Here is a 14,562-nt window from a genome sequence, read left to right as displayed (position 1 = left end):
AGGTCTGTTACCAGCACCTAGTGGGTGAAGGCCAGGGATGCTGCTAAATATCCTGTAATGCACAGGACAGCTCTCACAGCAAAGAATTATCGAGTTCAAAATGTCAACAGGGCTGAGGTTGGGGGGCAGAGGAGTTGAAGGGTAGAAAGGTAGGCAAAGATATAAAATTGCATAAACATTTACAAGTAGGTTAGGTTTAATATTATCAGAATTCATGTGTATTATTGCAACTTATTCATTTTTACCAAGTTTTAGATTTTTAAAAAGAGGTTTGAAAGGACTTAGATTTGTTTTTTCTAATATGTATCTAAGATTAAGAGAACGGTCTCTAAAATATTTGAGGTCCATGAAAATATATAAAAGCTTTCAATAACTCAGAAAAAATAATCTCTAAATATAATTTCAGGTCTTACAAATGAAGCTCTAATCTGTATCTCAGAGTAACAAGGCACAGTCACATCAAGCTGAAAGGAAAAAGATGCATGTGGCTTACATTTTCTACTATTTTATCAGTACACTGATTTTCAATGTACAAAGCAGATTTAAATGATGTGTTAATTTTATTCATTTATATATGCAAGGTGGAAGGAACATGTGGCACTTTGCCATTCCACTACCTTTTCTTTGCCATTTAACTCTGCTATTTCTTTATTAATGATCTCTATCCACATTATTATTATTTTTTTTCAGACAGAGTCTCACATGATCTCTGCTCACTGCAAACCTCTGCCTCCTGGGTTCAAGCCATTCTCCTGCCTCAGCCTCCCAAATAGCTGGGATTACAGGCACGCACTACCATGCCTGGCTAATTTTTGTATATTTAGTAGAGACGGGTCTCACCATGTTGGCCAGGCTGGTCTCAAACTCCTGACCTCAGAAGATCTGCCCACCTTGGCCTCCCAAAGTGCTGGGATTACAAGTGTGAGCCACTGCGCCCAGCCCCTACCTCCACATTATTTCTGATTCTTGTTTTATAGCACATGTACATTAGTCACCTATTTAAAATTGTGAGGTGATACCAAACACAGTAATGATTAAATTTTTTTTTTTGAGATGGAGTCTCGCTCTGTTGCCCAGACTGGAGTACAGTGGCGTGGTCTCGGCTCACTGCAAGCTCCCCATCCTGGGTTCACTCCATTCTCCTGCCTCAGCCTCCCGAGTAGCTGGGACTACAGGTGCCCGCCACCATGCCCGGCTAATTTTTTTTTTAATTTTTAGTAGAGACGGGGTTTCACCGTGTTAGCCAGGATGGTCTCGATCCCCTGACCTCGTGATCCACCCGCCTCGGCCTCCCAAAGTGCTGGGATTACAGGTGTGAGCCACCGCACCCGGCCGGTTAAATTTAACTTATGGCAGTAAAAGCGTAAACTTTGGTTACCATCACAGATGGAACTGGCTGGGTGCAGTGGCTCACGCCTGTAATCCCAGCACTTTGGGAGGCCAAGGTGGGCAGATTATTTGAGGTCAGGAGTTTGAAACCAGCCTGGCCAACACAGCAAAACACTGTCTCTACTAAAAATACAAAAAAAAAAAAAAATTATCCGGGTGTGGTGGTGGGCGCCTGTAATCCCAGCTACTCTGGAGACTGAGGCAGAAATTTCTTGAGCCCAGAAGGCAGATGTTGCAGTGAGCAGAGATCACACCACTGCACTCTAGCCTGGGTGACAGAGTGAGATTCTGTCTTAAAAAACAAAAAAACAAATGGAATCATCAGGCAGAGGTGCATCTAGGTGGTAACATCACAAGTAGTTGTTGTTATTTATTAAGTATCTTCTGGAATAACATTAATCTTTGGTCTCATATTTGAGAAAAATAGTGTCATCAAAATACAATAAACTGACATACAATTTTTTTTTTTGAGACGGATGCTCACTCTGTCACCCAGGCTGGAGTGCAATGGCACAATCTTGGCTCACCGTAACCTCCGCCTCCTGGGTTCAAGTGATTCTTTTGCCTTAGCCTCCCGAGTAGCTGGGATTACAGGCATGTGCCACCACAGCTAGCTAATTTTTGTATTTTTAGTAGAGACAGGGTTTCACCATGTTGGCCAGGCTGCTCTTGAACTCCTGACCTCAGATGATCTGCCTGCCTAGGCCTCTCAAAGTGCTGAGATTACAGGCGTGAGCCACTGCACCCGGCTGACTAATACATTTTAAACAATTTTTGAAACAGTTTTAATAAGAAATCTAACCCATGTAAAGCTACTGCTAAAGCCTTTTGGCTGAGGTAGTAACTAATGAGGCTCTGTAAAATATACAGGTGCATTAGGGTAAAAAAGTCTACCTCTATTGAGCCATGAGTCCAAAATCTTAAATAATAAAAAAAAGTCTGGCCGGGCGCGGTGGTTCACACCTGTAATCCCAGCACTTTGGGAGGCCGAGGCAGGCGGATCATCTGAGGTCAGGAGTTTGGGACCAGCCTGGCCAGCATGGTGAAACCCCGTCTCTACTAAAAACACAAAAATCAGCCGGGCATGGTGGCACGCACCTGTAGTCCCAGCTACTTGGGAGGCTGAGGCAGGAGAACCGTCTGAACCCGGGAGGCAGAGGTTGCAGTGAGCCAAGATCGTGCCATTGCATTCCAGCTAGGGTGACAGAGTGAGACTCCATCTCAAAAAAAAAAAAAAAAGGTCTATCTCATCTGAGGAAATGTTGGGGTTTATTTCTACATTATTAGAGACATATTTTATATTAATATTCAAGAACACTTACATAATTTTGCCATATACGCAAATATCTTGAGCTTGAAAAGTATGATGAAAATCCTTAACTGTCTACTAAAATTATTTTTTTGACCATCATTTAATTTCATACAAAAATCAAAGTGCCACAGTCCTTCAAAGACATCAGAGTGACAATATCAAAGATTTTTCTAAGCTGATATTTTACATCTGAAAGGTCCAGACAATTATTTGTGCATGTACCCACACAATTTAACAACTTGCAAAGTGATCATACCTCTTCAATACCAGCTATATTATTCACAGCCAGTTTTTTTAGAGAACTCTGAAGCTTTTTGTCATCAGCTGTGGCTGTTCTATGTACCACCTTCTTCTTTCTGCGAGCTGTACCCTGAAAAATAACCAAACAGAAGCAGAAGTGTTAGCATGCCTGGCATCTGGCAACTGCAATCACATCTTACGTATCACAATAATCTAAAACCCACATTAAAAAATGGACAAAATAATAATGATTAATGTTATAAGACTTCTCAGAGGTTGTGATTGTCAGCCTAACGCAGATTTCTAAAGGTTGGTTCTAGCCAGTTCCTTTTTTTTCCTTATCAGCTTTTTCAGGTTGAATTATTCTTATCTAATATCCAGCCTTTGTCATTTCAACACAAGATACTGTTTGCTAATAAAACATAATTTATAACTTCAAGACAATTTAAATACTTTATAACAATTTTAAAACATTATCTTTTCTTATAGTAACTACCACCCCCTGCCAGTAGTCTAAAGATATTCTGAAATTTGGGGAATTAGGACATAACTGAAAATTAATGTCTACATTACAGTAGGAGGAAAAAAATCAATAAATATATAAACAAATCAGATAATTTCAAATGGGATTAAGTACTATTAAGAAAAAAGCAAAACTAGAGCACAGCAAGAATGACTAAGTAGGGGCAAAGCAATACTTTATTAGAAGGTCCAGGAAAGCCCCCTCTGAAGAGGTAACATATGAGTTGAGACCCATAACTAGGGCAAGAATGATCAAAGCAGAATGAAACAAGGTTGAACTTGTCCTTTCTAGAAGAGAGAAAATGGGCCAGTATGGCTAGAGCAGAGTGAATAATGGGAACGGAAGAGGAATATGAAATCAGAAAGATAGGCAAGGACCAGATTATGTAGCCTAGAATGCCATGGGCAGGAGCTAGATTTTATTGATTGCAATGGGAAGCCATTGAAAGGTTTTAAGCATGGGAGTGACTTGATCTGATTACTTATGACTGAAGTTGCTATGTAGAAAATGGATTATAAAGAGACCAGTCAGGAGGCTCCTGTAGCCGTCCTGGCCAGAGATGAGGGATATGGCAGTGAAGATGGTGAGGGGTCAGATTCTCACAAGAGACCACATGACTTTGCTGATGGATTACACGTGGGATATGAGAAAAAGAGGACATTTGGATGATGCTTAGAATCTTGGCCTGAGCAAACAGGTTGAAAATTATACTAGTTACTGAGAAAGAAAAAGTTCATTTCTAAATTGATACTGTGAAACTCTAAATACATTTTTCCATTGAAATACTATTTAAAATAATGGATTCCTGGATCAGTTTATTAAGTCTTGAGGGTTAAATCTTTCTAAAACTGGTAGGAGTAAGGAGAAAGGAATAGTGGTTTCAATCTCTGGGTAGCTCCTATAGTAGTACTCAGGGAATCAGCCTTATAGAGGTAAGGTAGGGGCTTCAGTCTCAGCAATTCCGGTGGGAGTGGAGGAGAGATCTGACAGCAGAGGATGCCTTGAAATCTAGTTGCTGAAGGACTGACTATTTACATAGGCACTCATTTGTGAAGCATTCCTGACTCAGGGATAGCTCAACTGCTTGGTGCTTGTTCAACTCGAATGATCCTCAGGCACCTCAAATTCAATATGTCTTAAAGCTTATCAGTCCACCAATCTATTCTTATTTCCTAACTTTTGTAGCTGGTGGTACCACCATATACTCAAGTCTCTAAAATCATGAATCTGAGGGTTATCCTAGATTCTTCTGCATGCCCTTTACCCCCCATATCCCATCAGTCACTAAATCGTGTCAATTCCAACTCCTAAATTTGTATCCCATATAATAGAGGTCCCCAACCCCCAGGCCACTGACCAGTACCAGTCTGTGACCTGTTAGGAACACGGCAGCACAGCAGAAGGTGGGGTAGGGGGCATGAGCGAGCATTACTGCTTGGGCTCCACAGCCAGTCAGATCAGCGGCAGCATTAGATTCTCATAGGAGGGCGAACCGTTGTGAGCTGCGTATGCGAGGAAACTAGGATGCGCACTCCTCATGAGAATCTAACTAATGCCTGATGATCTAAGGTGGAACAGTTTTATCCCAAAACCATCATCCTCCCATCCGTGGAAAAACTGTCTTCCACGAAACCAGTCCCTGGTGCCAAAAAGATTGCGGACTGCTGCCTTAGACTCTAGCAATAGCGTCTCAATTGTTCGCCTATAGGCCAAACTTCCATTTTGTTCCATTTTCCACAACGCCAGCAGCTACCTTTCTAAAATGGCAGTCATTTCCTTCTTAAAATCCTTTAATAGTTGCCCACTGCCTATAGGATAAAACTCCAAGCTCCTTAGTATGGCATATAAAAGTATAATGGAATCCCAAACTACCTGGTCATTTCATTTCCTGCCATTCTCTATCCATTACGTACACTAAAGAACAGCTGTACCGGCCGAGCGCGGTGGCTCACACCTGTAATCCTAGCACTTTGGGAGGCTGAGGCGGGCAGATCATAAGGTCAGGAGTTTGAGACCAGCCTGACAAACATGGTGAAACCAAGTCTCTACTAAAAATACAAAAATTAGCCAGGCGTGGTGGCGCGTGCCTGTAATCCCAGCTACTCAGGAGGCTGAGGCAGGAGAATCGCTTGAACCCAGGAGGTGGAGGTTGCAGTGAGCCGAGATCACGCCACTGCACTCCAGCCTGGGTGACAGAGTGAGACTCCGTCTCAAAAAAAAAAAAAAAAAAAAAAGGCCGAGGCGGGCGATCACGAGGTCAGGAGATCAAGCAAGACCATCCTGGCTAACATGGTGAAACTCTGTGTCTACTGAAAAAAATACAAAAAATTAGCCGGGCATGCTGGCGGGTGCCTATAGTCCCAGATACTTGGGAGGCTGAGGCAGGAGAATGACATGAACCTGGGAGGCGGAGATTGCAGTGAGCTGAGATTGCGCCACTGCACTACAGCCTGGGCGACAGAGAGAGATTCCATCTTAAAAAAAAAAAGAGGCCGGGCACGGTGGCTCACGCCTGTAATCCCAGCACTTTGGGAGGCCGAGATGGGCAGATCACCTGAGGTCAGGAGTTCAAGATCATCCTGACCAACATGAAGAAACTCCATCTCTACTAAAAATACAAAAATTCAGCTGGGCATGGTGGCATATGCCTGTAATCCCAGCTACTCAGGAGACTGAGGCAGGAGAATTGCCTGAATCCAGGAGGCGGAGGTTGCAGTGAGCTGAGATCGTGCCATTGAACTCCAGCCTGGGCAACAAGACCAAAACTCCGTCTCAAAAAAAAAAAAAAAAAAAAAAGAATAGCTGTACCATATTAAAGCAAGCCATTCCATTAAGTACTGTGTTATCTTAGCACCATATGTGCCTTTGCAAGTATGGAAATGACAACCCTTTTTACTCTATCTCATGAACCCTCTTACCTATTTCTTTTTTTTTTTTTTTTTTTGAGACGGAGTCTTGCTCTGTTGCCCAGGCTGGAGTGCAGTGGTGCAATCTTGGCTCACCGCAACTTCCACCTCCCGGGTTCAAGTGATTCTCCTGCCTCAGCCTCCCAAGTAGCTGGGACTACACGTATGCGCCACCACACCAGGCTATTTTTGTACTTTTAGTGGAGACAGGGTTTCACCATGTTGGCTAGGCTGGTCTTGAACTCCTGACCTCAACTGATCCACCCACCTCAGCCTCCCGAAGTGCTGGGATTACAGGCGTGAGCCACCACCCATTACCTTTCTGCCAGCCATTACCTTTTCGCCTAGTGATAAATTGTTTATCCTTTAAACAAGAGCTCAGTGATAACTTCCTTGTCTCCACTAGGCAAGAGTACCTTGTACTTCATTATAACACTCACTATTCTGCGTTATAATTGTGAGCATCTCTCTCCCAAGCAGAGCTGTGATCTTGTTTATCTTCTATGTGCTGGCACACAGTAGGTGCTCAATATACAACAGCTAAATCGAATGTACCAACCACAGTTTTAAAATACACAATGGCGATGTGGTACATCAAGCTCTTCTAGGTATATTCTATGGTTCTTGAATATCCCTAGTTTCTGCATTGGCACATCACATCACACTTGATGCTACAATGTGACTACTGTGGTTACATGAGTGTGTTATTCTAACTCCAGACTCATATAACTGTATCACTGTGGGAGAAGGAGAAAGTACTGGCTCTTCTTCCCTTCCCTTCCCTTGTGCTCATCCCCAGGAACTGTGGTTATCATCAGTGTAAATGACACAGTGGGACCCACTACAAAAAGTAGTGTCCTACCTACCACTTCAGGTCTGAGGTAAGTACTATTCTTTCTTTCACTTTTGCAAAGATTGTGTTGGGCAGAGATATGGGTAGAATATTCTCCTTGAGCCTGGTGCCACAGCTGAAGAGAATCAAAGACTTCAGTTGCTCACAACTAGTTCTTCCTTAGGCTTTAAAAAGTACAGGGAATAAGAAAGCTGATATTCATATTCACCAACATGGAAGAACAGGTAAGAATTTGTGAGGAAAACCTGGCAATGAACAAAATATATAATCAACTTAAGCATCTCCAGCTAAACCTCTGTACAAGTAGGTAACATCCAGTCAAGACAAAGTAACCCTAACATCTGGTATGCCCTGCAAGTGAGTCTAACCATAATAATAGCTATAATTTATTAAGCATCTACTCTGTGCTAGACACCACATTAGGTGTTTTATAAATATTACCCTAATCTTTAAACACCTTATGTAGGATTATTTCTATTTTGCAGATAAGAAAGTGGAAGCTTAACAAGGTTGGATAACTTGTTCACATCATATAACTAGCAGATGGTAAGAGTTAGGATTCAAACAAATGTGGCTATTTCCATTGCATCATCAGAGAGAAAAGTGTTCTAGTTACCTATTTTAGATCTAGACAAGTTATTTTCAAATTGGAATGTGGTTTGATCTTGATTATTGAAAAGATTTTAGATTTTCAATGACCACAAATCCGAAATAATAACACTATCTGGTAATCATACATTCTCCTATCAATTTTTCTTATGCCACACTCACCTTGCCCCCTATCCGGACCTGAGCCTGAAGTTTGGCTAACTTTTCTTGATTCATGCTGTTGGTAAATCTAGGGGGGGAAAAATAGATTTGTTAAAGTCACTCTTTTGCCGAAATTAACAAACTGTTTATGCAACAGTACCTTCTGGTTCACTGAGCTTGTAGTATGCATCAACACCATGACCATATTAATACTGTCTATATTCTTAATAAACATTAATAACTTGTTCTAGCTTCATAAACCAGATATTTTTAAAAATCAAAATTAAATTACCATGAGGGAATCAAATATACAAACAGAAAGTAGAATGGGATTCAAAGTCACCTATTCAAAGATCCCTCCTTAAAACATGATTCAATCCTTTGGCATTCAGTTAAGCCTAACCAATTATGAAATCTCTGTAGGCAAGCCAGTTTTTTTCCCCCAAAGATTTTTACAGCAGAGAGCTGTTACCAAATGTTATTAGCAAAATCTTCAAGTAGATTTTTTTCCTCCCAAATCACATTCTGTATTTCTTATAAACCATAAAGATGACAAAAGGAAAAAAAAGCTGAACAAAGAAGAAATTCAACAAAAGGCTGTCTAGCTGTCAAGATATCAAGTAGTCATGTCCTCTATTCAAGGTCAGATGGTATGTTAATAATGGGGAAAGAGAACCAGGTTTTCAGACATTTGGTGCTTCTGCAGCACTCTCCAGAGTTCATTCAATACCCTGCACTGATATAGTATGTTATACTTGTCAAGACATTCTTGCATACAGGGTAAAATGCTTCATTGCACAATTTAACAAAAACATATCTTTGCTACAGTAATAAATGTTGGGGGGGGGCAGAGAGGAGACTCCTAAAACAAGCTTTTTAAAGTTAATCTTGATTTTGAAGATTCTAAAATTATAGTCATGAATCTAGTCTGGTCAGTGATAATCCCACTAAGAAAAAAACATTCTTAAGTTTATAATGGGTCATCACATTCCACATTACATAAACAAAGAAAAGCCAAATTCAGGCCCGGCACGGTGGCTCACGCCTGTAATCCCAGCACTTTGGGAGGCCGAGGCGGATGGATCACCTGAGGTCGGGAGTTCGAGGCCAGCCTGACCAACATGGAGAAACCTGTCTTTACTAAAAATACAAAATTAGCCGGGCGTGGTGGCACATGCCTGTAATCCCAGCTACTCAGAAGGCTGAGGCAGGAGAATCGCCTGAACCCGGGAGGCGGAGGTTGCGGTGAGCCAAGATCATGCCATTGCACTCCAGCCTGAGCAACAAGAGCGAAACTCCGTCTCAAAAAAAAAAAAAAGCCAAATTAAAAGTCTTGTTTTACTTGTTCTGCAGATCAACAAATCATTACTGAGATGTGAGGGAGGGAATAAGGGACTAGGTTGTTATCAAATCTTCTTTGGCCAATTCTCTAAACCCTGTATAGTCATCATTCACATGAAAAAAATACTGTTTGCTTCATTTGAGAGATTAAAAAAAGCAGCATCAAAGACTATATAATTACTAACCATTTTGTACTTTGACACTATCCTTAGGCAATAACCTATATATCTATCTCTTCTTTAAGGCTAATGTCCAGATCCCAAATAATATTTAGAATTTATGATTCTTCACTCTGCTCAGCGCTGTATCACAATGCTGAAGCAGCTAAAAACACTTTTATAGGAGGAAGTGTGTTTAGAGTCCAAAACAAGAAGTCTTAAATGTGTGCCAATCTTAGCTCTGCCATAGACTTAAATTTGATGACTTAAATCCCAATTCCTATGCTCAAATATCCACAGAAAAGGACCAACATTCACTTTTCTCAAAGGAATGTGGCCATGAGAGTGTAGTGAACTAACAAAGAGCCAAAGGAATTTATTGCAAAAAAAAAGGGGCTAAGGAAAAACATTAGACCTAGATACTTGGTAAACCCTTTGGGATTCTTCTGCATTTTGAAGTAACAATTCCCAAGAGAACAGACAGAGGTTGGGATGCCAAGACAAAGTCTTGACTTGTTTGAAATAAAAGCAAGAACAAAATTAACTCTTCAAATCAAGGTATAGATGAAAGAACAGATTCCATTCCAGGTGGTCAGGACAACAGAATTGAGAAATTTTGTTCCTAAGGAGTATCTCAGAGAAAAATGATTTTAGGGAGACTGAGAGCTCAAGGCAGTAGGGGAGGAACAAGAGTAGTCTTTTGTTTCTTGGCAAGTTGTGGTGTGTGGAATTCAAGTAGGAAAGAGGACTGGACTCAGTCTATGCGATGTCAAGCTCAGAATCTGGAGTAGACCTCCAAGATCACCTGGTTTAATTCTCTATTCTCAATCAACCTCTACTTTATTGCACCCATCATTCCTATCTGTGATGTCATCTCAACATCTGCTAGCACCAGCAAAGTATAAATTACAAACGAAACAGTTCCCTCCCTCCCATCTTAATAGATTAGGAAATAAGGGCCCAGAAGGGAGAAGTCCCTTCCTAGGCCCAAAAGGGAGAAGTAACTTCCTAAAGCCACATGATTAATGAGTTCTTCCTTGGGGATTCCAGGATCTTTTAGCACTGTTCTCAAGGACTCAAGAAAGGGTGTAAACAGGTTTATATTTATTAAGTGCCTAAGTTAGAAGCATTGTGGTAGGCACTTTCACATACATCATGTTTACACAGAGATAAAAATAATTGCAACCTTGAGTCCTGACTTTTTATTATGTAGGGTTTCTCTAAGACAAGCACAGGCTTTGGAATCAGAAAGACCAAGGTTCTACCAGTTGGGAAAGGTATTTTTCTTCTCTGAACTTGTATTCCTCCTGCATTTGGAAAGGTATAACACCACGTACTTCACAGGGTTGTTTTGAGGGTTAAAACATTATCAACCACAGGGAATGGTTCACAGAAGATACACAGTTACTGGTAACTATTGTTACCACTCCCGAGGGGACAACTATGGTAAACTGCAAGAATGTGGGAACGGAAGTTGAAACCGCCATTCACTAGCTGTGCAACACTGAGCCTGTCGGTCAGCAGGCAGTGGGAGGGGGGTTATAAAGATGGGCAAGGGACGCCGACTTGTAAACAAACACTGCCATTACAAGGTGAAGAGTGCTGTAACTGAGTTCGGTTCCCTGGACTCAAGGGCGGGAAGTGGTAACCTCAGCTTCCCTATCTGTAGACTGGGAGCATCAAATGAGATGACAACAGAGAGCCTGTATAAAGCTCAAAGCACACAACACTGCTGTTGTGAGCAAGGAGTAATGGAACAGAGGAGGGGCGTCCACCTGCCTCCTGGGACAGGGTCTGGGCGGCAACAGGGCGGGCCCGCTCGCTCCCACAGGGGGCGGTGGTGCTGGGGACCTTCCCACAGGTGCCGACCCCCAGCTGCGCCGCCGGTAACCGACAGGCCAAGCCAGCCGCCTCCGCCCCCGCTCGCCGCACCACGGCGGAAGTGGCAGCCTGAGCGGTTGGCGGGTGTCGGAAGGGGAGGGCGGGGGGAGACCGTGCGCAGCGGCCTATGGCCGTGAAGTGGCGGGACCGCCGGGGGTCTCACCTGAAGCAGGGAGGGTCCTCCAACACCAGCACGCGGCAAGAGAAAGATGGCTGCCTCAGCCGAGACAGAGAAAGACGACGGCGGCGGCGGCGGCGGCGGGAGCAGATCCACGTGATACAGCCGACCCCGCCTCTCCCTCTCCGGGGCAGCCTATCCCGGGAGCGAACATCTGAACTCCAACGCCCCGCCTGCTTTGCGCATCCCTCTTAGTGCTAGTGGCGGCAGGTGCAGGTGGCCGCGCGGCATCCTGGGGCTTGCAGTCTCCCGAGCGTTCTGTTGTGTCCCTGCCTACAATTTTAGGGAACCTAATAAAAGGGTGGTCGGTATGTTTTTATTTGGGTGTGTACTTTTGTTAGGTCGCTTTTTCGCTATGCATTAAGTACGGACTTTAGGACTCAACTAGTACCAGGAAGAAAAAGACCGGACATTTTCACCTGTTTGTTATACAGCGAAGGGGAAAAATTGGGAAGAAATCCTCAAGCTACAAGAAAAATAACCAGAAGCTTTACACTTTAGCCTGCAGTGACTTATATCCTGGTGTCCTAAGTCCACCTAAGTCAGTTTTGCAATAAGAGGTCCCAAGTTTGGTTTTCTTGGAGCTTGCATCAGTTGGTTGCATCATCCCTGAGTAGAAGATTTGCGGTTGCAAGGAAAAATAAGGTACAGAGCTTCTCCAGCGGGAAAGTGCATGTCTGCACGGCACGAGCCCACGCACCGCAGAACAGGCTTGCCAGGTCTCCTCAGAGACCCTCGCAGGAACCTAACAATGAAATCCAGTTGTCCAGTCTTGATTTGTGGAGGGGTAAGGAGAATCCGAGGCCAGTGGGCAATCCGCCCACTGTTGGGAGCGACTGACCTCACGAATCAATAATTTGCTTTTGACTAGGAAGTGCAGCGGTTCTTGGGGGGAGGGGCTGGACTGGGTGGCGGACGCGAGGAGCAACGGTTCTCCCGAACCTCTCCCCCGCCCCTACTATCTTGGCCTACATTTTCCCGCTCCGTCCCGGGACCTGGACACCCAGAATCCACGAAAAGCAACTCGCGCTCGAGAACAGCTCTCGTACCCTTCTACGTGATCTGCACCTTTAAGCTCACTCCATCCCAAACCGGACCCCGGAGGCACCACCCACATCCGTCTAACATCACTTCCTTCAGAGTTTGAAAAAAAAAAATCTGGGAAGTAGAGGTGTTGTGCTGAGCGGCGCTCGGCGAACTGTGTGGACCGTCTGCTGGGACTCCGGCCCTGCGTCCGCTCAGCCCCGTGGCCCCGCGCACCTACTGCCATGGAGACGCGGCCTCGTCTCGGGGCCACCTGTTTGCTGGGCTTCAGTTTCCTGCTCCTCGTCATCTCTTCTGATGGACATAATGGGCTTGGAAAGGGTCAGACCGCGTTCTTATCTTCTCTTTACTGATCTTTACTATACTGATCCCAGTATAATCTCTTCTTGCCCTAGCACCGTTCCCCTCCCATTCTAACTCTTAGGCCACTCCAGATTTCTTTTTATCTTCCCCAACCGCTCCTGGAGTTTGAAGATTTCTTGGGGTAGAGAGTAGCGGGTCTGGGGAATGGAGAAGTTGTACTTGAGGCCTCTCTAAATTATTGGATTGGGGGGAAGGAATGGCCCGTAAATTAAGGAAAGCATGTTAAGAGCCCAGCATAGTGCCTAGCACTTGGGAGGTCCTGAGGAACGGTCACCTTCCCACCTGGGAGAAATAGAGCCGTTGGGGACCTGCATATGCAGAGGACCCTGTTCTGGGTCTGAAGATTTCTCTCGTTACTTCTTCCGCGAAGAGCTAGGTTACTGCCACTTGCTTGCCTTTGGGAAACAGCACCTGCATCCCAGGTAGCTGTATCTAGTGCATAAGAAGAGCCAAGCGAATGGTAGAAGGTCTGCTGTTTAAGGGTCCCCAACAATTGTCCTTGCTGTGGTTCAGCGAAGTTTTTTTGTAAGTGAGCGATCAGTGGTTATGAATGGAGGTTAGGAGGTGTGGCCCCCTACTCCATCCATTACCTACATCTCCATTCTAAGTTTTAACACCTCTCTCCTCATCAGCCCTTACTTAGTTGAAAGTTGGACTGACAGTCTGTGAACTCAGAGTTTATGCTTTTCTAAGTAGATGAATTGTAGCATGGATCCCAACCCCTCTTCCTTTTTTTTTTTTCACTGACCTTACTGTATGGAATGATTCTGCTGCAATCCTTCTGTTTTTGTTTTCTCTTATCCTCTCTATTTTCACATCTATTGGTGAGTAATAAGATTGGGTGGGCATTCATTTTGCCTGAATGCAATCATTCCTTCATTCCGTAAATAATTTTTGATCACCTCCTATATTTCAGGCACTGTCCTAGGCACTAGGGATATAGCTGTAAACAGGACAGACAAGGTTCCTACTCTGGTGGAGCTTATATTCATGTCAGAGAGACAGAGTAGACTCATGAACAAATTAATAAGACAGTTTCAACTAGGAACAAGTGCTGGGAAAACAATAAGACTGTGATGGAATAGGAAGTAGAAAGGCTGGGGAGGTTGGTGGAGCTGGCATCACTTGAATTATGAAGGTCAGGAGAAGCTTTTTGGAGAAGGTGATATGTGGGTTTCCATCTCAGTGATGAAACTGCATGACAAATCCTGTTAGGCCAGAATGTTTTAAATACTGACAATCCCATTTTAAAACAGACTACCGTTTTTTTTTGTTGTTGTTTTGTTTTGTTTTTTAGACAGAGTCTCACACTGTTGCTCGGGCTGGAGTCCAGTGGCATGATCTTGGCTCACTGCAACCTCCGCCTCCTGGGTTCAAGCGATTCTCCTGCCTTAGCCTCCCGAGTAGCTGGGATTACAGGTGCCTGCCACCACGTCTGGCTAATTTTTTGTATTTTTAGTAGAGACGGGGTTTCACTATGTTGGCAAGGCTGGTCTCAAACTCCTGACCTCATGATCTGCCCGCCTCGGCCTCCCAAAGTGCTGGGATTACAGGCATGAGCCACTGCGCCCAGCCAGCTACTGTATATTTAAAGTTGTAAGTACTGAGAGTAACAGAAGAGTAG

General features: G+C 43.8%; 2 protein-coding genes across 6 annotated transcripts in view, besides 5 other annotated features; one reads left to right on the top strand and one right to left on the bottom strand.

Annotated features, from left to right (window-relative positions):
- BTF3L4 (basic transcription factor 3 like 4) overlaps positions 1-11,601 on the bottom strand; it is a 34,422-nt gene extending 22,821 nt beyond the window's left edge. For 2 of the 3 annotated variants that reach the window (NM_152265.5, NM_001243767.2), the window contains exons 1-3: positions 11,517-11,601; positions 7,995-8,061; positions 2,958-3,071 (exon numbers count right to left, since the gene is read on the bottom strand). In NM_152265.5, the coding sequence (NP_689478.1) occupies positions 2,958-3,071; positions 7,995-8,048 (168 nt within the window). In that variant the 5' untranslated portion in view covers positions 8,049-8,061; positions 11,517-11,601. The remainder of the gene's footprint in view (positions 1-2,957; positions 3,072-7,994; positions 8,062-11,516) is intronic. The other variant, NM_001136497.3, reaches the window with a different exon arrangement.
- Positions 10,686-11,397: an enhancer, noted in NCBI's record as "H3K27ac hESC enhancer chr1:52522171-52522882 (GRCh37/hg19 assembly coordinates)". NCBI's record gives its function as "activates a minimal SCP1, AML or CMV promoter by ChIP-STARR-seq in primed H9 embryonic stem cells {active_cell/tissue: H9 hESC(primed)}" and the evidence as "EXISTENCE:reporter gene assay evidence [ECO:0000049][PMID:30033119]".
- Positions 10,686-11,416: a biological region, named in NCBI's record as "H3K27ac hESC enhancer GRCh37_chr1:52522171-52522882".
- Positions 11,177-11,416: a silencer, noted in NCBI's record as "silent region_884". NCBI's record gives its function as "represses an Ori minimal core promoter by ATAC-STARR-seq in GM12878 lymphoblastoid cells {active_cell/tissue: GM12878}" and the evidence as "EXISTENCE:reporter gene assay evidence [ECO:0000049][PMID:35858748]".
- Positions 11,398-12,111: an enhancer, noted in NCBI's record as "NANOG-H3K27ac-H3K4me1 hESC enhancer chr1:52521457-52522170 (GRCh37/hg19 assembly coordinates)". NCBI's record gives its function as "activates a minimal SCP1, AML or CMV promoter by ChIP-STARR-seq in naive and primed H9 embryonic stem cells {active_cell/tissue: H9 hESC(naive and primed)}" and the evidence as "EXISTENCE:reporter gene assay evidence [ECO:0000049][PMID:30033119]".
- The window catches only part of TXNDC12 (thioredoxin domain containing 12), a 36,041-nt gene continuing 33,203 nt past the window's right edge, over positions 11,725-14,562 (top strand). For 2 of the 3 annotated variants that reach the window (NR_046406.1, NR_046405.1), the window contains exon 1: positions 11,725-12,896. Coding sequence is in view for 1 of the 3 variants with exons in the window: in NM_015913.4 (NP_056997.1) it covers positions 12,800-12,896 (97 nt within the window). In the remaining 2 variants the exon portion in view is untranslated. The remainder of the gene's footprint in view (positions 12,897-14,562) is intronic. The other variant, NM_015913.4, reaches the window with a different exon arrangement.
- Positions 12,277-12,681: a silencer, noted in NCBI's record as "fragment chr1:52520887-52521291 (GRCh37/hg19 assembly coordinates)". NCBI's record gives its function as "represses an EF-1alpha promoter that drives an FKBP-Casp9 reporter gene in an ReSE screen in HepG2 liver carcinoma cells {active_cell/tissue: HepG2}" and the evidence as "EXISTENCE:reporter gene assay evidence [ECO:0000049][PMID:32094911]".

Source organism: Homo sapiens, chromosome 1 (assembly GCF_000001405.40).
Source record: "Homo sapiens chromosome 1, GRCh38.p14 Primary Assembly".
In the NCBI taxonomy this organism is placed as follows: Eukaryota; Metazoa; Chordata; class Mammalia; order Primates; family Hominidae; genus Homo; species Homo sapiens.
This window is presented reverse-complemented; position numbering and strand designations above follow the sequence as displayed.